The 24,034-nt window shown below is 52.8% G+C and overlaps 1 protein-coding gene across 6 annotated transcripts in view, besides 6 other annotated features; it reads right to left on the bottom strand.

The window, feature by feature from the left end:
• The window catches only part of UMODL1 (uromodulin like 1), an 80,120-nt gene that overhangs the window by 46,813 nt on the left and 9,273 nt on the right, over positions 1–24,034 (bottom strand). For 4 of the 6 annotated variants that reach the window (NM_001199527.3, NM_001199528.4, NM_173568.4 and 1 more), the window contains exons 2-6: positions 19,937–20,179; positions 11,939–12,100; positions 10,772–10,893; positions 7,704–7,890; positions 5,746–5,886 (exon numbers count right to left, since the gene is read on the bottom strand). In NM_001199527.3, coding sequence (NP_001186456.2) covers positions 5,746–5,886; positions 7,704–7,890; positions 10,772–10,893; positions 11,939–12,100; positions 19,937–20,039 — 715 coding nt within the window. In that variant the 5' untranslated portion in view covers positions 20,040–20,179. Of the gene's footprint in view, positions 1–5,745; positions 5,887–7,703; positions 7,891–10,771; positions 10,894–11,017; positions 11,107–11,938; positions 12,101–14,142; positions 14,342–14,968; positions 18,013–19,936; positions 20,180–24,034 lie in introns of those variants that run through there. The other 2 variants (XM_017028507.1, XM_011529797.1) reach the window with 2 other exon arrangements.
• Positions 2,302–2,807: an enhancer, noted in NCBI's record as "H3K4me1 hESC enhancer chr21:43513487-43513992 (GRCh37/hg19 assembly coordinates)". NCBI's record gives its function as "activates a minimal SCP1, AML or CMV promoter by ChIP-STARR-seq in primed H9 embryonic stem cells {active_cell/tissue: H9 hESC(primed)}" and the evidence as "EXISTENCE:reporter gene assay evidence [ECO:0000049][PMID:30033119]".
• Positions 13,518–14,452: an enhancer, noted in NCBI's record as "H3K27ac-H3K4me1 hESC enhancer chr21:43501841-43502776 (GRCh37/hg19 assembly coordinates)". NCBI's record gives its function as "activates a minimal SCP1, AML or CMV promoter by ChIP-STARR-seq in naive H9 embryonic stem cells {active_cell/tissue: H9 hESC(naive)}" and the evidence as "EXISTENCE:reporter gene assay evidence [ECO:0000049][PMID:30033119]".
• Positions 19,583–20,082: an enhancer, noted in NCBI's record as "H3K4me1 hESC enhancer chr21:43496211-43496710 (GRCh37/hg19 assembly coordinates)". NCBI's record gives its function as "activates a minimal SCP1, AML or CMV promoter by ChIP-STARR-seq in primed H9 embryonic stem cells {active_cell/tissue: H9 hESC(primed)}" and the evidence as "EXISTENCE:reporter gene assay evidence [ECO:0000049][PMID:30033119]".
• Positions 20,083–20,584: an enhancer, noted in NCBI's record as "H3K4me1 hESC enhancer chr21:43495709-43496210 (GRCh37/hg19 assembly coordinates)". NCBI's record gives its function as "activates a minimal SCP1, AML or CMV promoter by ChIP-STARR-seq in primed H9 embryonic stem cells {active_cell/tissue: H9 hESC(primed)}" and the evidence as "EXISTENCE:reporter gene assay evidence [ECO:0000049][PMID:30033119]".
• Positions 22,679–23,178: an enhancer, noted in NCBI's record as "H3K4me1 hESC enhancer chr21:43493115-43493614 (GRCh37/hg19 assembly coordinates)". NCBI's record gives its function as "activates a minimal SCP1, AML or CMV promoter by ChIP-STARR-seq in naive H9 embryonic stem cells {active_cell/tissue: H9 hESC(naive)}" and the evidence as "EXISTENCE:reporter gene assay evidence [ECO:0000049][PMID:30033119]".
• Positions 23,179–23,680: an enhancer, noted in NCBI's record as "H3K4me1 hESC enhancer chr21:43492613-43493114 (GRCh37/hg19 assembly coordinates)". NCBI's record gives its function as "activates a minimal SCP1, AML or CMV promoter by ChIP-STARR-seq in primed H9 embryonic stem cells {active_cell/tissue: H9 hESC(primed)}" and the evidence as "EXISTENCE:reporter gene assay evidence [ECO:0000049][PMID:30033119]".

Here is a 24,034-nt window from a genome sequence, read left to right as displayed (position 1 = left end):
TGAAGCATTTGGAATTGTCCATATTTGACCATGTTTGACCAATAAGGGCACCAATTTCTTATGGCTCAATTTTTTTTAATTGAGCTTCTACTATGCACCCAGCATCACCATAAACACTGAGGGAACAATGATGAGTTAAGGTCCACAGTGTCCAAGCTAACGCAGCATGCATTATAGCAGCGGTAGGAACTTGCAGGGAGCTATAAATTAACTCCCTGGTGTGAGCCCCCTGCAGTACTCCCTCCCATGACATCCATGTCACAAACCAGCCAAGCTATCAGCGACATGGTTACAGGTAATGTTTCCTGGGTACTGTGTGCACCAGCCATGTTATCCTATTTAGTCCTTACAGCAATCCCAGGTAATAAGTTCTTCTAGGATCCCCATTTTACAGAGGACAAAACTGAGGCCTAGAAAGGTCAAGTAGGTAGTAAATGGCAAAGCTGAACAATAGGAAATAGCAAAGTTCACTTGCCTTACTACTAAGCTTTCCTATCACCAGTAGCAGGCTGAATAATGAGCTTCAAAGATATCAAGTCCTAATCCCTGCAACCTACGACTGTGACCTTATTTGGAAAAGGAATCTTTGCAGATGTGATTCAGTGAAGTATCTTCAGATGGAAAGATAATCCTGGATTTCCCAGGTACACCCTAAATGCAATCACAAGTGTCCTTATAAAAGAGAATCGGGGGGATTTATACACAGACACACACACACACACAAAGGAGAAGGCGGTATGAAGCTGGAATAGAGAAAAAACAAAGATGTTGACCTTGAAGATGGAGTAGGGCTGGGCGTGGTGGCTCACATCTGTAATCCCAGAACTTTGGGAGGCCAAAGTGGGCGGATGGCTTGAGCCCAGGAGTTTGAAACCAGCCTGGGCAATATAGCAAGACCCTATCTTTACAAAAAACACAAACATTAGCCAGACGTAGTGATGTGTGCCTATAGTCCCAGCTACTTGGGGGGCTGAGCTAGGAGGATTAATTGAACCCAGGAGGTGGAGGCTGCAGTGAGCCGAGACTGTGCCACTGTACTTCAGCCTGAGTGACAGAGCAAGACCCTGTCTCAAAAAAAAAAAAAAAAAAAAAAACAGCAGAAGAAAACAAAGGAGTGATGCAGCCACAAGCCAAGGAATGCCGGCAGCCACCAGAGGGCAGAGAGGCAAGGAATGGATTCTCCCAGAGCCTCCTGGGAGCACAGCCCTGCTGGCAACCTGATTTAGGCCCAGTGGTAACTATTTCAAATTTCTGGTCCTCAGAACTGTGAGAGGATACATTTCTCTTGTTTGAAGCCACCCAGTTCATGGGCCTTTGTTAGGGAAACCCGGGAAACTTACATATCTACGAAATTTCACGGCAGCTGTTCCCGTGGCTGGACAGCACAGCTTGGAGAGTTTTCTTTGTGTTGTAAAACCAACCAACCAACTTCTAACGTGCTAAGGCCAATCTCTCTTTTGTTGGACAGACCTTGGGGTATTTTAAAACTGGAAATCTTCCTTCTACCCCCGACTCCTCTCTTCCAGGGTAGGCCCCTATAACTTGGTTTTTGGTTTTTCATTAGCCAGGACACCCTCCTTTGGTTACCCTTAAATGGGGACCCTTTTCAGTGTCCCCCTTAAATGTGGCCCTAGAAAATGATGCTCTTGACTCTGGGTTTGTATGACCCAAGGCCACGGCAATGCGGATAATCTAAACTTCAGGCCCCAGAGCCCTTGCTCCACAGCCCTCCCCAACCACAGCTAGGAACACAAGTTCAGAACTTTGCCTCTATCTGGGTAAAGCACCCTGGGTTCTCCACGTCTGACAGTCTGGCCCTTGTTTCTTCCCGGGCAGCCGTGACTCATCTCTGGTTCAGCAGGGAAGGTGCCGGGGATGCTGTTTCCCTTAGCAATATGCAATTGGAATTCACTCTAAACTGCTGATCTGGAAACACTGGATTAGTGTGTCCTGCCCTATTAGAAGTGAAGCTGGGGCCGCGCAGCCTCCCCTCTTTGTGTTTGGCGGTCGCTCGAGCGGCCCTGTATCCTGACGCAATCTGGCAGTTCACTGTGCCAAGCAACACGGCAGAGTGTGACTGCCAACAAACCTAACCGTAAATAGAATCTAATATTTTTCCGGATGACTGACCAGGGTAAAAATAACTATTTGGAAAATACCTGTTTTCCAACCTTCTGTGCTCACGAAAGGGACAGGATTCTCACCCTGGAAGCCACAGAGCAGGAATCTATAGACAGTTCTCTGCAGAGCTTAGTGGGGTGCCGTGGGATGTGGACGTGGCGCGAAGTTCTAAGTGGATCTCAAGGCCACGTGCTGCGGGGTACAGGAGTGTTCTCAGTGTTTTGCTGGCAGAGCTGGGCTGGAAATTTTTAATACCTGGAGACCCCGGGGATGACCACTGTGAAAACCTCTCTTTCCGTGATTGATCCAGGAAACGTTTGTGGAGTGCCTGCTCTTTGCGGGGCACCAGGGATTCATCTGCCAGTGGGTGGAGGGCAAGTCCGCTCTCCCCACACAGCCTCATTCTGATAGGAGGGGAACGTTCCTGGTGATGGGGGGAAGATCTGACCCTGGAGCCCGCCACATCCACAGCTGGCTCTGGGAACTGGTCCACTCCCCCAACCCCTCGCCCACAGGACAACGAGAAGAGCCAATCAGAACCTTAGGCTGAACACGGGGTCTCCTGCCTGCAATCCCAGCGCTTTGTGAGGCCAAGGAGGAAGGATCTCTTGAGGCTGGGAGCTTGAGAACAGCCTGGGCTACTCAGTGAGACCTCGTCTCTACAAAAAAATTTAAAAATGAGCCAGCTGTGGTGGCGCATGGCTGTGGTGGTGCATGCCTGTGGTCCCAGCTACTCCAGAGGCTGAGATTGGAGCCTGGGAGCTGGAGGCTGCAGTGACCGGCGATCACGCCACTGCACTCCAGCCTGGGTGACAGAGTAAGACCCTGTCTCTATAAAAAACAAACAATAAAATTAATTAAATAAATAAATAAACCAGAACCTTAGACTCCTTTTCCTAGTTGGGTTCTAGAACGCCAAATAAAATAATTCAACTCTTCTGGAGCTCTACCCAACTCTTGGTCCTAAGCACTCATGAAGGTTGGAAAGGGCATGGCGGTTTTCCTGAGTGCACTGGGACAAAAGGCAGCCCCCGAGGGCGGGGGAGAGCCCATCACACTCTCAGGCAGGTCCCCGCCAGAGGGCTCCTAGGGAAGACAGCCTTGGGACACAGCTGGTTCATGTGCGTCTTCAGAGGACCAGCCTTGGGATCTTATGCAAGAAAATCACCTTCGTCCCCCTCAATTTCCTCTTCTGAAAAAAAAAATGAGCTTAAGGAGAGTAGTTGCCTCTTGGGGTTAGTCTAAGAATTTAAACGAAGCAATACCCACAGAGTGCTCAGAGCAGAGCCCAGAGCGCGTGAAGTGCGGGCAACTGCCAGCTGTGGTGTTATTGTGAACAAAGGGATGGTCCTCAATGTTGAGTCCCTTTTAAGGAAAAAGAACATGCAAATTAAATGATTAACGAATTCAAATTGGATATAAAGAGATTCCCTGTAACCCCTGTCACAAGGTTACAGTTCCAGACTCTTGAAAGCAACAGAAGTGCTCCCGTGAGGGGAAAGAATATTATATGATTGCTTTAGAAAGCCACTAGTTTTCAACCACCAATAATTATCATGGTGAAAACCAGGCTTCTTCTTGGAAACTTTATACACATTATAGGAACTGAAGAAAGCAGCTTATAAAATTACACATGTAGCAGGATTTAAATAAGGTTTAAAAAAAAAAACAAAAAAACCCTCAACCCTGCGTTCAATAAGGTCAAAACCTGGAAAGGAACAGGGAATAGAAAGAGCCGGGATCAGCTTCGCCTGTCTTTTGAGAGACCCCCTGGGAGTCCACAGCCTCCTCCACATCAGGCTTTCCTTCCCTCAGCCTGTTCATAGTCAAGCTTCCCTGCAGGATTCTCGGCTATTCTCGCTTCTTTCTCTCCTCCAGCTGTCTTCCTAACCCGGGCTGCTGGCTGCTTCCCTTCTGCTCTCCTGAAGTCTGCACCGGATCCCCGTAGTTCCCACAGGCACTTTCCTGCCCTGCTGTTACCCATGCGTGTACCCTCCCTGCTTGCCGGCCAGCTTACCGCTTGCTCGCTTGGGGCTTGCTGAGCCTTCCCTGCTGACCTTGCTGCGCACGCCCTTCCAGCTGTTTTCCTGCCTTACCCAGGTCATCTGCAGCCTCTCCTCCTGCACTGACCTGGCACTGTTGGGGTTCTCTGGCCACAGGCCCCAGGCCTCTTCCCTTCTCTCAGCCATACCATGGTTTAAGTGTCACCTGGAGGTGACCCTGGACTCACGTATGCAGCCCAGCCCCGCCTCTGTGCTCCAGCACCACGCGTCCAACTCAATCAGCATCCTGGCACCGCCACTCACTCCATCTCAGCTATAACTATTATTGACAATAATAACAACAGCTCGGGTCTTCCCCATCCTCTCCAATGGAAACACCTTCTACTCCACTGTTCAGTCAAGACATCTGGATTCCGTCTTCTTTCCTTTTTCCTCTTCTTCACTGAATTAATCAATAAGTTCCAGAGGTTCTATCTCTAAAATGTTGCCGGAATCCCTTTCTCCACCACCTTCCACACCCTAGACTCCTGCACTCAGAGTATCGTCTTTATAGCACCTTCCTACATTTCAGATTACACAGTTACTTCTTCTTCCAAGCTGCTTGATGGCAGAGCCAATCCCGTGTGCCAGTCCTGGCTGGTACATCCCTCCCCACTCCCAACAGGGACAGACCTGGGCACGTTTATCTACATGCTTCCCCCAACACCCAGTCCGCTCTTCTGCTCTCCAGGCTGATCCCGCGATGCTAGGGATGGTCCCAGCTTATCCTCGTGGTTCCAGTGCAGACATCAGTCCTGCCCTTTCATGCGCCAAAATGTCTCCATTTCCACAATCCACTAGACAGGCAGAGATTAGGACCTGCTTCTGCATGCTTCCATTACCAGCACCTAGCACAGTGAATAGCACCTAAATCAACATTTCCTAAGCCAAAGAAGATGCGAGGGTGGCCCACTAGGAGATCAATAATGGCTGAAAGAACTAAGTGTATTCTGTGCCGGTTAGCCAGCCATTCCCTCTTGGCAAGAAGAGTCCCTGTGGTCTGAAGACCATCCAGCCTTTAAAAAATGCCTTCACCCTTTTCCCGTTTCGAAGAAAAAAACGGCAGCTCACTGCCGGCACTCATTTAATTTTACATAAACAAGCTCTTTGGGGCTGAAGCAAATCTAACTGATTTTCAATATGAAAACAAAATATAAAAACTGTTCTTGGAATTACTTCTAAACAGAACTAACATCAGAACTGTCTGAATCATCAGAATCATCTATTTCAGAAAAACAGGTTCAGCAAATGAATCGTCGGCCAACAACTTGTTCGAGAACAATGTTAACAACACACGTGGGACTGCTGTTTTCTAGGATTTGACATTTTCAGTGATTGAGAATCACTATATTTTGTAAATGGAAATACCACTACTAAAAGCAGAATGCTATAAGTAGAATTGTGTCCTCTGTTTCCAAAGTCAATATACCACAGTGATGCGAAAATAATAATAAAAGCAAGATATTTCATGGCAGAGTTATCTCGGGGTGAATGCTGCAGCTGTAAGCACTGCTGGTGAGTATTCCCGGGGCAAACAGGAATTAAGCCATTCCCATGCCATCTGAGAGAGCCTAGCCATTACCTTCCCACTCCAGGTTCAGCTTCCGTGGAGACGTGGCTGGAGCTTCCTGGTGACAGACGCACCAGTACGAGCCCTCCAGGTTTGCGCACAGTTCCCTTCCAGAGCAGGCATTGAGCTCCTCATAGAAACACTCATTGACATCTACAGGGAAGGAGAGCAGGACCCACACTCAGCAGTCGCAGCTACCTCGTCATCTTCATCTACCTGCACACACACGGCCTCTGTGGACTCGTGCCACGGATTTGTGCCACGTCGGTTGAGGGGTGCCTTGGGCAGTGATCCCAAGGGAGACTATGGAAGTCTCGTCTTAGAAGGCCCTGTGCGGCTGCTGGCCATCGTCATCCAAGCAGCAGCCCACGTTCAGGCAGGGCTCGCGGCTGGCTCACCGGGCAGCCTCACGTGAGCAAATCACTCTGGGCTGGACTGAGTCTGAGTGGTCATGAAAAGGTGGGGCCAAAACATCCCACCCCAAGCGTAAAGTAAATCAGTGGGTGTTTTCTGCGCCAACAAGGAAACCCAGAGCCACCCCTGACGTTCTGAGGCTGGCCCAGGCCTCCCAAACAGAACCATCTCACAGCAGCCAGCCTCAGACAGGGCCTCTTCATAATGCTGTCTAAGTACAGACAGCGCGATAAGCTCATGTGTCACCCACAAAATACTAATGCCCCTCCCTTGGCCCAAATGAGTGATTATTAGTTCTTTACAAACTATGGCTTATCTTTATGCAATTGTTCCCATCTCTTTTGCTTAGATGTATTGACATTCCCAGTCGTGGAGTTGCCTCCATTTTCTGATGGCATTCAATTCAGAACAAAATCACACTTCCCTAGACCCTCCCCAAACCACCCAGTCAAAACCCACATCCTATAACAGGTTCTTTCTAACAATCTCCTACTGAGAAACCACATGGTTCTCCATGGTGTGGGTTCTCCCTCGCTGCCTCGAATAATAAACTCAACTGGTCCACCCACAGGTGTGCTCCTGCAACCTCTGGCCAAAGGTCATTGACAGAGCAGATGACAGAACGAGCACTTTGCTTAATGGCACTAGAGCAATGCAGCTTGGTTCTGCAGAACATGTGCGGATCTGAAGGGAGATCAATGCAATCACTAGAGCTTTCACACGGCTCTGAGCCCTGGCATTGTCACGTGCCTCCTCAGTGTCATAGAAGAGGCTTCACCAAGGCAGCCACCCTCCTGCAAAGCCCTGGGAGCAGCAGACTAGCCTGGCTGCCTCCTGCTTGGGTACAGGAAGCCGTACGGGAGCCCAGGGGTTTGCTTGCGGACTGTCTGTGACTACTACAACAGCAGGGCTGAGTCGTTGAGACAGAGACCACGTGGGCCCGCAAAGCCAAAAATATTTACTATCTGATCCCTTTTAGATGAGGCTTGCCAATTCCTGACATAGAACAACAACAACAAAGAATAGGTAATTTCTTCCAGAAACAAGGCCACGTCTATGTGCTTTGCCAGATACAAATTCAACTTTAGACAAATTGTGCTGAAGGAGCCTTTGGAGTACAAGGATGTCCTTGGCAAGGGTGGGAAAGAGGCGAGAGGGAAATTTAGGAAACCAAAGAAATGAAGAAACAAGTTCTTTGTGTGTGGCTCTGGGATTTGCACTCCAGTGTCCACTAGGATGGAAGGAGAAGCCTGCCGAGGGGGCAGGAGGCCAGAGGGATCCGAGGAGAGATGGAGGGAAGAGGAGAGGGGCGGGAAATGGGGGGCAAAATAAGTTCTAGAGGTCTGCACTTGGGGACTTGGAATTTACAGGGTGAGCTGAAGATGGGTCCCACACCTGTGGGATGAACACACTTGAACCAGTTATTCTTTTGCTCCTGAACTTAAACCTCCTTTAAAAGACAAAGGACTGGTCTGGCTTTAGCGTCCACCTTGCATTTTGGCTGTTCAGGCACCACCCTGCAGCCTCCCCAGAGGGAGGATTGAGGGAAGCCCAACCTTGCACCTGGACGCTGATCACTTCATAGACACGCTTCGCAATGTCACCCAGCAGGGTGGAGACGTCAGCCACAGGCAGTGGCCGTGGCAGGCCCAGTAGCAGCCGCGACACTGTGGTGGAGGCGTTCCCAGGGGCTGAGTGCAGGTGGTGGACGGTGGAGGCCATTGGTTGCAGGGCGCTGGTGACCTGTGAAGGCAGAATCAGAGTGTCACACAGCAGAAGGACACCCCGTCAGACAGACGAGGAGACTGAGGCCCGCAGAGCTGAAATGAACTGTCCACACACACGTACCATTCTGCTCTTCAGCAAAGAACCTCTACAGTACTTATCTATCCATCACTATCCCAATAGAAGTCCTACAAACCGGAACTATCAGTACCTTTCAGTACCAGTTGTGATAAGCTGAATTCTGTCCCCTAAAATCCATATGTTGAAGTCCTAACCTCCAGTACCTCAGAATGTGACCTTATTTGGAAATAGGGTTACTGCAGATATAATTAGTGAAGGTGGGTTCTAATCCAATATGGCTGGTGCCCTCACAAAAAGGGGAAATTTGGACACAGAAACAGACATGAATGGGGGAAGACAGTGTGAAGAGACAGAGAAGACAGCCGTCTGCAGGCCAAGGAGAGAGGCCTGGGGGCCTCAGGAGGAACCAGCCCTGCCGACACCTTGATTTCAGACTCTTCAGCCCCCAGAACTGTGACAGAATAAGTTTCTGTTGTTTGAAGCCCCCAGTCTGTGGTCCTTGGTTACAGTGGCCCCAGGACACTAATACAGCAGCCAGACCCAGGACCCTCGGTCTTCTGCCCTTGCCAAGACTGCAGGTCTCTTGCAGCTGACAACAGAGAATTAGAACTAGAATTAGACAATTAGAGATCAAAAGCCACGGTCTCCTGTTGTACACATCCAATTATTTTTCTGAGGTTTAATGATCACTTTCCTCATTTCATATGCAGTATTTTTATTTCAGCTTAATATCTTGAAATCTCAACCCTTGGGAAGCCAGGTGAACTGGCAGCTGCACAGCCAGACCAGTGGTCACCAGAACAAACTTTGCCAGCAAACCCCCAAGCCTCCACTGGGAACTCCAAAGGAGGTTTGGGGAGAGCAGGAGTCCTCCGATACACACTTGAAGCCCCTTCCTGGGAGGAGATGCAGCTCATAATTTAGCATACAGAACTGGGAACCAGCCCCGACCTCATCGGAACCCCTTATTCAGCAGCAGAAGCAGGCCTCAGAGACCAGCCCCTGCTGGTGCCTGACCCCTGTGCAAGGCAGGCGCTTCTGCAGGGGGTAATGGGCTGGTTGGAGACATGAAACCTACATGCACGAGGAGACAGCAGGTGTCACGCAGCAATATTGAAAACACAACAACCACAACATCTCAGGCCCCACACGCATCAGGAAGCTCAGGAACCATCTCAAGCTCTTTACATGTATGATTTAAGCTCATGGCCCTGTCTCAGGCAGGGTTATGATTATTTCTATTTATTTACTTTTTATTTATTTAGAGACAAGAGTCTCGCTCTGTAGCCCAGGCTGGAGTGCAGTGGCACGATCTCAGCTCACTGCAACCTCCGCCTCCTGAGTTCAAGCAATTCTCCTGCCTCAGCCTCCCCAGTAGCTGGGATTACAGGCACGTGCCACCACGCCTGGCTAATTACTGGATTTCTAGTAGAGACAGGGTTTCGCCATGTTGGCCAGGCTGGTCTTTAACTCCTGACCTCAAGTGATCCGCCTGCCTCGGCCTCCCAAAGTGCTGGGATTACAAGCTTGAGCCACCACTCCTGGCCGATTATTTATGTTTAATGGAGGAGGTATCTCAGGCACAGAGAGGTTAAGTGACTTACCCAAGGTCACACAGCTGATGAGTGGCAACACTAGGGCCAGGCAGTGTGGCTTCAGAGCTAGTTTCTTACTGGCCAATTGGGCAGTCCCCTTAACAAGCTAAGAGGAAACAGGAATCACTCCTAGCCCGGGCTGTTAAGGCCGAGGCTGCAGACTACCTGTCTAGCAGCTCACTGGCCAGCAGCCCAGAACAACATGAGGTGTGCACCATCTGATCTGGGCTGCCAGCCAGCTTAGTCTAACGGCCAAGGAGTGACCCAACCCTGGGTTTGACACCAAGACACCCAGGGACATATGGGACACACAAAAGATCTGAAGCACAGAACAGCTACACAGATGCCAAAGGAAAATGCGGGGCCCCTTGTCTGAAAAGTGTTCGGCATTTCCAGAGGCAACAGCAGCACATTAGACCAAGCTGAGGCCCCTCTGAGCACAAGCCCCTGTCAGCAGCCGGTCCTGAAGCCAGACCATCCCCCAGGGAGGGCGGCCTTGGGGACACGCGGCAGCCTTGGGGACACGCAGCGCCCTGTCCACACTGGGATTCCCGAGACTGATGGTGGCCTGAGCTGGAGAAGACATCCTGGTTGGTAATCACTGCTGATGGGCCAGAAAGCATGACCTGTGTCATCAGCAAGGGTCAGCCAGGGTGTTTGTTTTTATCCCCAGGGGACAGTGGGCGACGTCTGGAGACAGTTTTGGATGCCACCCTGGGGTGTGCTTCTGACTTGTGTGGAGAGGCCAGGGGCGCTGCTAACCATCAGACCCCAGGGTGCTCTCCAGCCCTGGGCTACGGTTCCCATCTCAGCACTCCCAGGTTGGTGCTGGCTTCCACGAAGCAGGAGCCAGAACTTGAAGAAATTGGGACTGAGGGTGGTGAGGGAAGAGCTCGGGGCTTAGGCTGTCTTTGCTGGGACTGCAGACCCCTGCAAGCTTAGGGATCCGCGTTCTCCACCACGACAGGCGGGCCTATGAGGGTACACACATAACAACTCAGCCAACTACACGCTTCAGTTGTGTGCATTTTGTTGCATGTAAATCATACCTCTTTGAAGCTGATTTTTTAAGAACTAGAATTTCGTTCAGAGTCAGTCATTTGGGGCCATTTGGGGAACATCACCCTCCCCAACCCCCAGGTCCCTTCCACGGCCCCATACCTGGGTCTGCCTGAGCAGCTGCCACAAGGAGGGTGCAGGCAGCCCCCGTCTGTCTCACCTACCAAGGAATGCAGAAGGCGCATGTGGTTCAGGAGCCTGGGGTCCACTTGCTGGAGTTCCTTGAAGTCCATTTTCACCAGTATGGTGACGTTGTACCAGGAGCCCACAGGGTCCCTCTCTGGAGCTACACAAGGGAAAACACTGATGATTATGGACCCAGGACAGGTTGAAGTCACAAAAGCTGCTGGGGTGGGAGAGGGGGCAGGAGAGGGAACCAGAGGCCATGAGAGGCCCTGCTCTGCATTTACCTCCCTGCAAAAAGACATCTACCACAGGAGACGGGGGATGTCCTCACTGCCCGCCCCTCGCTCCTCTCCATCCTAATGTCCCTGAAGACCACCGATCCCTGCTCAGAGGTGAGCTGGGCCTGGGACCCACAGCAGCAGGCCTTCCCTTGAAGAGATCTGCTTAGGAGGTAAATAGAGCCTATCAGCCTCATTATACTGTCATAGTATGTTGATATAGAAAATTACTTTATACTTTGTCATTATTTTATTGATACTACAAATATTGGATAGTATAATCATATGTAATATGATATATACTATATAATAGCATGTAGTATAATGATATAGTATTATCATAATATCTGATATTATGTATACTATTGCTTTATTACTGCATACCATACTAACGCTATAATATATAATATTTTAAATATTAAATAATATGTAACATTATACATATATATATATGTATAGGCCATCCCATTCTCCCATTCTCCTGGATGCAGACCCCAATCAAAAGAGAACTTTCCAGACCAGCAGGCGCATATCTGAGGTGGCAGGGCCTGCCTACGGGTGCTGTGGCGCTCGTCAGGCCCCTGTGGCACTGCAGGCACAGCCAGCTCCACACCTGCAACTAATCTACCTGGAGCTCCTGGCCTCTCCAGGCAAACTGGGAAATCCGGGTCTCTGCTCCACCAGAAGTGTCTTCCCATTTCAGGGCCCCTAAGAGCGCCATGAGATTTCTCCCCCGAGAGTTCAGTGGCCAGATTTTGACTAAGAAATTATCTAAGAGCAGGTGCTGCCTGTGCACACGGTGGGGGCTCCTGATGAAATCGGTCACTGCTCCTAGAAACACACTCCCCCCCACACCTTCACACAGATCAGGCCTCACCGAGACCCGCCTTTGCTGCCTGTCCATAAGCATGGCCCGCAGCAGCCTACCTTGGGGTGCAGGGGCCATGCAGTAGCGCCCCCCTGACCAGGGGCAGCACTTCTCAAGTCCAGGACAGTCGATGTCCAAGCTGCAGGGGGAGGTGGATGGTTCAGGCCCCTCTGCGGGGCAGGCCCCAGGTCTTGACGTGAACTGCCCGGACTGATTCAGGGCTGGGAGAAAATGATACAATTAATGATACTGGCGATAAAAGACAAACCTGATTTGCTGCACGGGGACCTCACGTCGGTGCTTCCTGGTGCTGAATTCTGCCTGTAGGTCTGTGGCCTGTTCGGGGCCCATCCCCATGCCTGGGCAGACACCCACCCCATTGGAGGGCCATTGGCTTTGGTTTTCATATCCTCTGCCCATCTGTCCTTCCAGGGCAGCTTCAGCTGGGGTCCTAGGTGTCTCTGTTTCCTCTAGGCCTCAGAAGTCCAGGTCCAGGGGGCTCCACCACCCCCTGAAAGGGCCCCTTGCTGCTTCAAGTCCTGATAGCTCATTCATTCATTCATTCATTCATTCAATATTTGTTGAGCACCTGCTATGTGCCGGGCACAATGCCGGGTGCCCAGGGCCCAGCCTTCAGGGAACTTATATTCCAGTGGGGGAACAATAGTGCAAGGAGATCTACAGATATTCAGATGGGGTGAGAGCCTCAGGGAATGAAGCAGTGTGGGGGATTGGAAGGACACTCTGGAGAGGGGCTCATGCCTAGGCTGGGCAGAGGGGAGCTCGGAGCAGCTCTGCAGACATCAGCCCTGGCGCCCACAAGGCGAGGTACAGGCCTGGTGTGGGGTGTGGTGGGGGCCGACCTAGGTGACAGTGCAGGTGAGTGCAGCATGGGTCCCTGGGGAGATCAGGTGGGGGCGTCCACAGGATGTGCTGACAGACGGGATGGGGTGTAAGAGAAGAAGAAGCTTCAGGAAGGCTCCCAGGCTTCGGGTCTGGCATCCCTGGGGCTTCATTCCTGAGCTGGGGAAAGCTGCGGGAAGAACGGCCTGGTGTAGACCAGGAGTGTGGCAGTGCAAATGTGAAGTCGGACATGTCCACTGCTCGCCCATGTGGAGACGCATGGCAGAGTGGCACTGGAGGTGGCCCCTGAGGCCAGCCCGCTGGCTGTTGGCTGCACAGCTCCCCAGCCCTTCACAGTGTGAGTGCAGCTCCGATGCAGCTCTAGACACAGAAACGCGGCCAGCCTCTGCAGGAGGCAAAGATGAGGAAGGCAAGAGGCCAACCCGGTGGGGTCCCCATGGGAGGTGTGCTGGTCCTGGGGACCAGACCTCAGCCAAGGCTGCAGGGGGAGGCCACGGTGGGCTTTCCAGAAAAAGGGGCTTATAGAGGTCTCAGAAAGCACTGCAGGAGTCTGAGAATCCACCCAAAGGGAAGCTGTCAGGAGTCCGGAGGCTGATGCTCAGGGCTCCAAGAAGCACAAGAGGAGGGCAAGGAGAAGAAACCGAACCCCAGGGGTCAGGAGACAGCAGAGCGTGTGCCCGATGCCGCAGAGCCTGCAGTGTGCCTTTGCCAAGACGGCAGAGGTGGGCCCAGGGCAGGAGATGACCCCATCTCCCAGGACGGAAGGAAGCTGAGAAGATGGGAGCTCCGGGACGAGGCTGAGGGCAGCCATGAGGAGGACACAGAGGGAGGAGGGACCCCAGTGCTGGGCCCCAGAGAAGGCTTGCCCAGCTCTGTGGCCTCCATAGCCAGCCACCCTGACGGTGGGTGCCATGCCCCCCTGGGGCTTTACTCAGAGCTGTCCAGTTCATGCCCAGATACATGGCAAGCTTTGTGTGTCTATGGCCCGGGGATGTTTAGGAGCACAGCTCAAGACCTCTCAGAGCCCAGAAGACTAGAGGAGGCCAGCTGGTAACTGGGTCCTGGACTCACCCCCGCGAGGGTGGGGAAAACTCGTGGGATTGGCCAAGCGGAAGGGCAGCCTCAGCAGGCTGCAGTCCCAGGGACTGGCCTCTCGGGTCCCCCAAGTTCTCTGCAGAGCACTCTGCAACGAAGAAAGAGGTGGCGGCCCTGGCTTCTGCTGGGACCACATCACCAAGGACACTGCTCAGCTGGCCAGAGCAGGGGCAGCCAGAGTCACGGAATATGCAGAGAGCCTGCATCCCCGCTCTCCTCACCCAGCCCTGTCTGCCTGGCGCCCGGCCTTGCTGTGGGCATTCCTCTCAGCCGCACTCTCTTTCCTGCGTTGTCCCTGACTCACTCTTCATCTCCTCATCATCCAGGCAGCTCTACCGATGGCCGTGCATGAAAAATGAACGTTGGGTGCAGCTCGAGGAGGGCAACGCCAGGAGCCTGGTGGAGGCTTGCTGAGAATCCGAAGGTCTCTGCTTTGTCTCCCAGTGCAAAAAGCAAAGGCCTCAGGGTTAAGCAGACATGCGGACTAAATGGAAGGTGGGCTCCTGGGACAGAAAAAGACATTCAGGGGAAAACAGGGGAATCCAAATAAACTATGGAGTTTCCCGACAATGCCCAGTGTCAGTTCCTTAGGACAAGTAGTCCCGAGAGCTGTAAGATGCTAACGTTAGGGGAAGCTGGGTTGGGGGGTACAGGACCTTTCTGCATTATCTTTGCAACTTCCCTGCAAATCTAAAACTATTCTAAACTAAAAGCCTATTTAAATAGAAACAATCCCCCCAAAACTGGCTTCTAAAAATAGTTGCCTAATCACCAGAGGCGTGTTTTTAAGTGAAAGGTTTGCATCTTAACTGGCTACTGCCGGGAAGCCCCTCCATCCCTTGGAGCTGGCCAGCTGACTGAGTGCCCTGAGAACGCTGAACAAGTCCAACTTGGTAGAAAGTCACAAATCTCCTTCGTCCCTAACTCAATGCAAACAATAAAACAGAACTGCTCAGCTCCTGGCAACACTGCTAGTCATGGTCCAGTGAGGCAACAGGGGAGCTTTGTGTTTGAGCAACAAAACCCAAGGCTCCCAGGGCTGAGGACTGGGTGGGCTGAGGAGGAGTCGCTCCTGTCTCCCTCCTCCTTCCTCGGGGCCTCTTCGCCTGGTCGGGACAGGAGGTTCTCACCAAAGGGCCCCTGGTCATCAGCATGCGGGGACAGGAAGTTTTGGGGAGTCTCCTGGTCCTCTGGGGGTCCTGGACTTGCCTAACGAGGCTGAGTTTGCCAGGAGGTTGATCCTGTGCAGAGCTGGGGTGTCACTGGAGTTAACAGAGCACAGCTAAGATGCTGGGTTCCACTTCTCAGAATTCATCCTCAGCGCATAATCCAACTTGTGCACAGTCGTGTTTGTACGGTATGATGTTCATCACAGCATTATGTATGATAATGAGTAATTGGAAACAACTGACAGTTAAGTGGCAAGAGCTTGCTCAATGAATGCTGATGTGCGTATGAGGTAATGCCATGTGGCCGTAAAAGCATGCAGTGGAGTCATGTTCACAGGCATGAAAGCTGCTGTGGATACATTGCTGAGTGGTAAAATCGTGCTACAAATGTCTTGGACACAGTGGCCATCCTCTTGTGAAATGTCTGCCCTGGATAAAGAACATGTGAAAGGTGGTTATTCGTGAGCAGCAGGCTTGGGATCGTTTCCTCCTCCTGTTCTTTTCTGTGTTTCCAAATTTTCTGTATGGCTCGTGTGTTCATTTCTGTAATTATATTTTTAAAAACTTAAAATAATGCACCAGTTGTCATCGCATTCCAAATGCTGGACTGAAAAAGTTGAAAAAGTCACTGAAAGTCATATCACGTGTGTGTCCATGCTTCCGTTCCCTTTTTTGCATAAGTCATTATTGAGTGGGAGGAGAAAGGAGGAAACATGTCTGGCATTTTACCACTGTCTGGGGGATAGGACTCCGAGGCGCAGACCCCCGGGTAGCTGAGGTGTGAGTCACCCACACTCGGGTGACCTGGAGGCCCCGCCACAGAGGAAGGAGCATCTCCTGCCCTTCACGCTTCCCAGTATTTCCAGGGGCCTCCAACATCTGCCAGGTCCAGCTTCGGGCCCTGCTTCGTTCTGTACAAATCAGAGTCACGGTGCTCAACAGGTCACTTACTGAAACCATCTCACATCCAGCTCCAAGGAGCCAACCTGCTGTGTGGCATCCCAGAAAAAGGCGGCTTTGATCAAAAGAGCTGTGCAAGCATGGAGAAGTTCGCGCTGCCAAAATCCGGGGTGTAAATCCGCCCACCACAGGCGCCTTCACACCACCAGCATGGTGTCTCTGACCGTGGGGCTGGGAAGAAATGGGATACAGGCCCTCCAGCGGCAGGAGTTGCAGAAGCCTCGTGGGCTGTGCCCTTCACCAGGCCCCGGCACAGGCAGGGACCTTTCTGAGAAAGAACTCCGTGTCCTCAGTGCCCTGAAATGTTCCTCCTCCCACAGTCGCCACAGCCACAGCACTCAAATGCCACAAACTCCCTTATACTAAAGTGCAGCTTGGTAAACCCCCAAAAATCTGCCTGGGGGTCAGAGAGCCCCGGTCCACATCCCCAGCCTGCCTTCCTGGAACTGTGCCATGGTGGTGGAGGCGCGGGCCTCCCCTAGCCTGGATCCCCACATGCAGAGCCAGGGATACTCATTCCTTTGGTGCCCGAGGGATTGGAGGGTCTCCTGCCCTGGCCTCTTAGAAAGAATGCACTCAGGCAGTGCCTGTTTCCCTCCCTCTTCTCTTCCTTCCTCCTTCTAGATCTGCCCCCTCTTCACTGTGCCAGAGTGAGCCTTCTAGAACCTGAGGGGCCATTACTGAGGGGCTCAGGGCCCACAGGTTGAGTCCACCTCCCCTCATGCCTCACGTCCCTCCCTGTGGCCTCACTCTCCACTCCCTGCAGCTCCCCAGGGCAGCCCACTCTCACCCACGGGACTCCCTGACTGCAAGGGCATCGCCCTGGTGAGTCCCTAATTAAAGGTGTTAACACTCTAAAAGTGGGGCTGATTCCAACAAGAGGCGCTTCCTGGAGGCTGGTCTGTGAAGGAGGATGCAGGGCAGGTGGTGGGGAGAGGCCTCCCTATCTTCTGGGAGGGAATTAACTTGTTTGCTGCAGCAGGCCAGGGTCTCTTACAGAAGGTGATGGTGGGCATGGGTGGGGCTGGTGTGGCCCTGCAGAGCGGGAGCAGGAAGGGGCTGCTGATCAGCCTCCCCCAGGGCCTCCTCCCCTCACTAGTCCTGACAATGCCAACAGGTAGGAAGAGGTGTGGCCTTCACAGGTAAGACTGGACAGGATAGGGCATGTCCTGACTGCAAAGCCCACATGCTCTAAACCGAGTTGCCGTGGCACCAGCACCTGTGTCCTAATGGCCCCCCGCTATCCCCTAGGAGTGGAGTTGTTGCACAGCAGCAACTGTAGCTCAGCAGGCCCCTCTGTGTGTGTGGCCCTCGAAGAAAGTGGAAATGGGGCCAGGCATCAGGACAGGAAGGGTCTCCTTAGACCAGCACCTGAGCAGCATGGCCAAGGCATAGGCTTGTCCTGCCAGTGGCCCTCTAGGGAACCAATGAGAGTACAGAAGGGCCATTGCTCTGGGGTCAGCTGGCCCTGCCTGGTTTCTGTTGGTGATGGAGGTGTTGCTCTGGGGTCAGCTGGCCCCGCCTGGTTTCTGTTGGTGATGGAGGTGTTGCTCTGGGGTCAGCTGGCCCCGCCTGGTTTCTGTTGGTGATGGAGGTGTTGCTCTGGGGTCAGCTGGCCCCGCCTGGTTTCTATTGGTGATGGAGGTGTTGCTCTGGGGTCAGCTGGCCCCGCCTGGTTTCTGTTGGTGATGGAGGTGTTGCTCTGGGGTCAGCTGGCCCCACCTGGCTTCTGTTGGTGATGGAGGTGTTGCTCTGGGGTCAGCTGGCCCCGCCTGGTTTCTGTTGGTGATGGAGGTGTTGCTCTGGGGTCAGCTGGCCCCGCCTGGTTTCTGTTGGTGATGGAGGTGTTGCTCTGGGGTCAGCTGGCCCGGCCTGGTTTCTGTTGGTGATGGAGGTGTTGCTCTGGGGTCAGCTGGCCCCGCCTGGTTTCTGTTGGTGATGGAGGTGTTGCTCTGGGGTCAGCTGGCCCCGCCTGGTTTCTATTGGTGATGGAGGTGTTGCTCTGGGGTCAGCTGGCCCCGCCTGGTTTCTATTGGTGATGGAGGTGTTGCTCTGGGGTCAGCTGGCCCTGCCTGGTTTCTGTTGGTGATGGAGGTGTTGGTTATGGTGGTATTGTTTTAACACTCCTGAAAGAGGAACATGCCTGTTAACAGCACACCCGAAACCATCAGGCCCTCTCTCTGCCTGGCCCTCTGAACGGGGCAACAGAAACGCATCAACTCTCCCTGTCATCAGTGAAATAGCACTGGGGGCTGAGGGAGGGCCCACTCAGGATGGCCCAGCCTGCAGGTCTATGCAGACCCCAGACTCTACAATCTGGGGCCCTTGGTTTCTGGAGGAGGCAGACACCCTGGTTTGCGGAGTCCACGCTCCATTCTGCTGTTGTCCTGGTCTTGTAATGCCCAACCTTGTTTTTACTAACCCTGTTTTTAGGCTTGTTTCCACCTGAATGGACTCTCCCTTAGCTAAGAGAGCCAGACAGACTCCATCTTGCCTCTTTCACTGGCAGCCCCTTCCTCAAGGACTTAACTTGTGCAAGCTGACTCCCAGCACATCCAAGAATGCAGTTAACTGATAAGATACTGTGGCGAGCTATATCCGCAGTTCCCAGGAATTCGTCTGATTGATAACGCCCAAAGCCTCGTGTCTATCACCTTGTAATAGTCTTAAAGCCCCTGCACCTGGAACTGTTTACTTTTCTGTAACCATTTATCTTTTTAACTTTTTGCCTACTTTATTTCTGTAAAATTGTTTTAACTAGACCCCCACTCCTCTTTCTAAACCAAAGTATAAAAGAAAATCTAGCCCCTTCTTCGGGGCTGAGAGAATTTTTAGCGTTAGCCGTCTCTCGGTCGCCGGCTAATAAAAGACTCTTAATTCGTCTCAAAGTATGGCGTTTTCTCTAACTCGCCTGGGTACAACAGTCTCAGGCCACAAGGATGGGTCCTGCAGGATCCCCTTCGTGGCACCCAGGAGCTGGTGGCTTCTGCACTCTGGAGGTCACAGCCCTTATGTCTCAGTGACCCTGGCCAACACCAAGCTGGAGCCACACACCCCCACATCCCTCCACAGTGGGGGTGCAAGGCAGGACCTTCTGACTGTACAGAAACTCATTGCAGATCTGGTATTGACTCAAAATTAGCAGCCACCACACACACACACACACACACACACACACACACACACACACACACACACACACACACACACACACCCCTCCCCTGGAAGAGATCACCTGTGTGTCAGTAGGCTGAGCCCTGAGTCCCTGCCCTATCCCAACGGCTCAGACCCTGGCCTGGCATAACCACACAGGTCACCCTGGTAACTGGCCCCAAGCATCCTACAGGAAAGCAGCTTCCAAACTGCACTGAGGAACTGGGAGGACTTGGGGGCCTCTGAGCACTTAGGGTGGTAGGCTCGGGGCTCCTTCCAGCTCTTTCACGTATTGGAGTTCAGAATAGGATTTTGGCTACGAAAGCATTTCACTGCAGCTTTTAGAAAGAAAAGGCTGCTGTAGAAGAGAGTTCAGTGCTGGCTCTCACACTCAGTGGTATATGAGAATCACTCTGGGAGCTTTGAAAACTTCCGACACTCTCTCAACGCCCCGGGCCAATTCCCTCACACTCTCTCAGGAAGAGACCCAGGCATCTGCATTTTTAAAGCCATCCAGGAGCCCTCTGAGAACAGCAGAGGTTCTCAAAGTGGGGTCCCTGGGCCAGCAGCGTCAGCGTCACCCAGGAACTTGTCAGGAGGGCAAATTCTTGTACTTCACCCCCACCCACGGACTCAGAAACCTAGGAGTGGGGCCAGGGAAAGCCCTGCCGATGACCTGCTGCCTGGTCAAGGCTGGGAGCCGTGCTCCTGGAAGATCTAGCAAGTTCGGGGCCAATGGATGCCAACGGTGACTGTCCCATCAGGCGTCTCGACGGCAAGGGTGGCCCCGCCCCAGCCCAGCAGCCCTGGACTCACGCAAGACACAGTAGAGGCCGAGCTGTTCATAGCCCTCACAGCAGTCAGTCACGTTCCTGGACTCGGGGACCTCCACTACCAGGTACTGTGTCCGGTAAACCATCTTAGGGCACCGCCTCCAGGGGATCCAGCCGCCGCAGGACACATAGGACGTGTAGGACGTCTGCACGGCCTCCACCTTCTGTACAGTGTGGGTCACACGGTGGCTGCATAGCTGGTAGCCCAACAGGGAGAGGCCTTTTTCTGAAAGAGGCCAAGCAAGAAGGCGACTGAGAACACCAGGATCAGATCCGTGCGAGCGGTTATCCGCAAGGCGTCCCTCTGCAATAGCAAGTGAGAGCACACCTCCCGCACTCGCGCAGGCCTCTCAGAAGCTGCCCACCAGCCCTCTCCACTGGCCTTTGCCTGCTAGTGCACCAGGAAGGCTGTTGCATGAGTGAGCACAGAAGAATAAAGCATAAACGTAGCCTGGCCTGCTAAGAAAGCCGCTGTGACCGAGGAGGAGGTGCCACCTGGGCCCCACGCATGCTTCCTGAAGCACAGGGTTCTCACGGTCCATATACGAAGGAGAGAGCACAGCGCTGGAATCAATGCTTAGAGATCACGTCCCTTTGTTCTGCTCCATGTGAGCTGATTCCACAGGCCGTAGAATCTCGTGCACATCTATCTCTTAGTCCCCCTGAGCCTCAAGGTTGCCACATGGGAAGTGAATGTGCAGCAGTTCCCTCCACAGTGCAAACTGAAGGCCTGCTGTGGCCAGGACATGACAATGACGGCTTTCTTTTCAATGAGGTGGAAGATAAGTAAGCAGGTACTTAAAGCACCTGTGGAGTGCGGTCGCTCTGTGGCAAGTGTGTGAGAAGTTTGTTGATGATAAAAGACCAGCTCAGGCCGGGCGTGGTGGCTCACACCTGTAATCCCAGCACTTTGGGAGGCCGAGGCAGGTGGATCACTCAAGCTCAGGAGTTCGAGACCAGCCCGGCCAACATGGTGAAACCCCCCCCCCATCTCCAGCAAAAATATTTTTTAAAAATTAGCCGGGTGTGGGCTGGGCGCGGTGGCTCATGCCTGTAATCAATCCCAGCACTTTGGGAGGCCAAGGTGGGCGGATCACGAGGTCAGGAGATCGAGACCACCCTGGCTAACATGGTGAAAGCCCCTCTCTACTAAAAATACAAAAAATTAGCCGGGAGTGGCGGTGGGCGCCTGTAGTCCCAGCTACTTGGGAGGCTGAGGCAGAATGGCGTGAACCCAGGAGGCGGAGGTTGCAGTGAGCCAAGATTGCGCCACTGCACTCCACCCTGGGTGACAGAGTGAAGACTCCCTCTGAAAAAAAAAACAAAAATAAAAAATAAAATAAAAAATTGTGGTGGCTGGTGCCTGTAATCCCAGCTACTCAGGAGGCTGAGGCAGGAGAATTGCTTGAACCCAGGAGGCGGAGGTTGCAGTGAGCCCAGATCATGTCACTGCACTCCAGCCTAGGTGACAGAGCGAGACTCCATCTCAAAAAAAAGACCAGTTCAACTTTTCAGCCGTTACCACTGTGATCAGGAGGAGGCACAGTCACCCCCGCTGCAGGACAAGCATCAGGTTTACCCTATTGGGCCCCACATATCTCTCACTGGAGCCTGGTTCCTTTACACAAGGCCCATCGCCCCTCCATCAACGTGATTACTCCGTTCTCGAGACCCCTGGCCCCATGACATTCACCACGAGACTCTTTGGTCATGGACATCCCCTGACGTGGTGCCTGGGCTTCCCATCTCCCCGGGAGCCCCTACTGCCTAGTTTGAATTGATTGTGTTCCTCCAAAAATTAGTGTGTTAAAGTCCTAAACCCCAGTAACTCAGAATATGACCTTATCTGCAGTAATGTCTTACAGAGGGTATCAAGTTAAAGTGGAGACATTAGGGTGGGCCCTAATACAATATGACTGGCCCTTATACTAAAGGGAAATGTGGAGACAGACAGGCACACAGGGAGAAGGTAGAGACCAGGGTGATGCTTCTACCTGTCAAGGAACACCAAAGATTGCCAGCAGCTCCAGAAGCTGGAGGCCCGGAGCAGAGACTCCTGCAGGGGCTCGGGAGGAGCCAGCCCTGCCCGCAACTTCATCTTAGACTTCCGGCCTCCAGACCTGTGACCGAATCCATTTCTGCTGTTTAAGCCACGCAGGCTGTGTTTCTTTGTTACAGCAGCCCTAGCCAGTGCACACAGGGATGGTGAAGGGTCCCCTCCAGCTCCCCCGTGGCACCTAGCAGGGGGCCCTGAGTACATGGACTCTCAGTGCAGGATGAACGGAGGATTTGACATACAGTGCTTGCATTTCAGACACTCAACCCCTGAGCTCTAAGCTTTACTAGACTGTACCCCCAAGAGGTGGGGGCTCAGTATTACAGTTGATTTCCCTCAATGAGTAGCTGGATTGATTTCTGGGGAGGAACACAGAGATGGGAGCAGAAATGATCACAAAACCACTGCTGTCCTTATTCGCTCCACTGGGGCAGCATCTCTGAAGATTCCCTCCTTGGACCTCGCAGCAACCTACAAGTGTGCAGAAAGCAGGACTCCAGGGGCTTGTTACTCACCCCAGGAAGAAATAGGGCAGAGCCAGCCCTCAAACACGGTGAGGGAAGAGGCTGCAGATTTGCTCTGGGCAGAACACAGGTGCTGGACCACACACTTGCTGCACAGCGACCCCACTCCACAAGCAACAGGGACTGGAGCTGCAACTTCCTCTGGGGGCTGAACCCCAAATCACCCTGCGGGCCCAGCAGGGCCTCTGGGGATGGGGACCACCTGCTGCTTGGCATCACCAGTGGGGTAGTTACTGTGAGCTCTGCAAAGGAACGGGAGGTCCTCATCGTACGGGGTGGAACAGGACAAATCAGCTTCCGGGACCAGGGCAGCTTGGCTGAGAGCCTAGAGGTGACTTGCATGAAGAACGGTGGAATATGGCCGGAAGGAACGCGCTCACCTACTCAGTGACCACGCCGAGCTAGGCAAAGGCCGAGGACTTCCTGCACCAAGAACTTAGCAGAGTGGATCTAGCTTGCGTTTTTCATCGTAACCTGAGCAGAGATGCCAACCACATTAAGGACACTTACAGCTCCTGGTCTCTAGAGAGGTGCCAGGGCCCCACCTGATCGTTACATGGCCCCAGCTGGTCCGCAGCAGAGCCGTCCTGCACACATGCGCACACGCACACACACACACGCGCGCGCGCACACACACACACACTCATCTCCTGTGGAACCCGGGAGATGTTTGCCCTGTTTTGTTTTTAACATTTTATCCGAGGTCACGTGCCATCCCAAGCCTGGCTTCTTGGCCAAGCCCAGAGAAGAAAGCAGTTAGCAGATCCTGCCATCCCGCAAAGACCCACAAGGGCCATCAGAGCAGGAGCCGGGGGTCTTGGATTCCGGTCTCAGAGATGGGAAAGCCTAATGCTCTGGGGCCAACAAGAGTCCTGGGGTCAGATGGACCTGTGCTCACACCCAGGCTCACAAACCCCTGTTGCATGATTGCGCCCATGTCATGCCCTCCCAGTGCCCCTCTCTTGTCATCTGTGAAATAACAGCCATGTCCTGTGGCTGCAAAAGGCTGAAGTGGGGTCATGCCTGTGAAGGCAGTGCTGGCACACAGGGAAAATTCGGGGCGACCACGTGTGGGGTTGCTGAGGTTCTGCCCCGTGTCCTCATATACAATGAGGGGTTCTGGAAACACCTCCTAAGACCTTCTCCAGCTTCCCAGGATACCCACCCATTATGCATCTGAACTGTGGGGTCTACACATTACCTGTTCCAATGGGAAAATCCATTTCACAAATCACAAAGCAAAATCCTGCTTCTGGGTGAAAAACGTTAAAGTAGTACAAAAACATAGTTGATTTTAGAAACAGAATGGATTCCTTTAAATTTGTAACTGAATATGACAGATTTTAAGAGGAAAATGATTTTAAAATTCCGCAGTCCCATTTCCCTGGATTCTGGGGTTTCAGAACTCCCGTGTGTTTTTAAGAAGCTGCCCTGCTCTCCGCATGCCTGGGAAAACTCCGGACAGAGCCCTGGTGCAGCCTCTGGCTCCTGTGGTGACTCT

The sequence above is a fragment of the Homo sapiens genome, chromosome 21 (genome assembly GCF_000001405.40).
Source record: "Homo sapiens chromosome 21, GRCh38.p14 Primary Assembly".
Lineage (NCBI taxonomy): Eukaryota > Metazoa > Chordata > Mammalia > Primates > Hominidae > Homo > Homo sapiens.
Note: the sequence above shows the minus strand (reverse complement) of the source record. Positions and strands in the feature narration are given on the sequence as shown.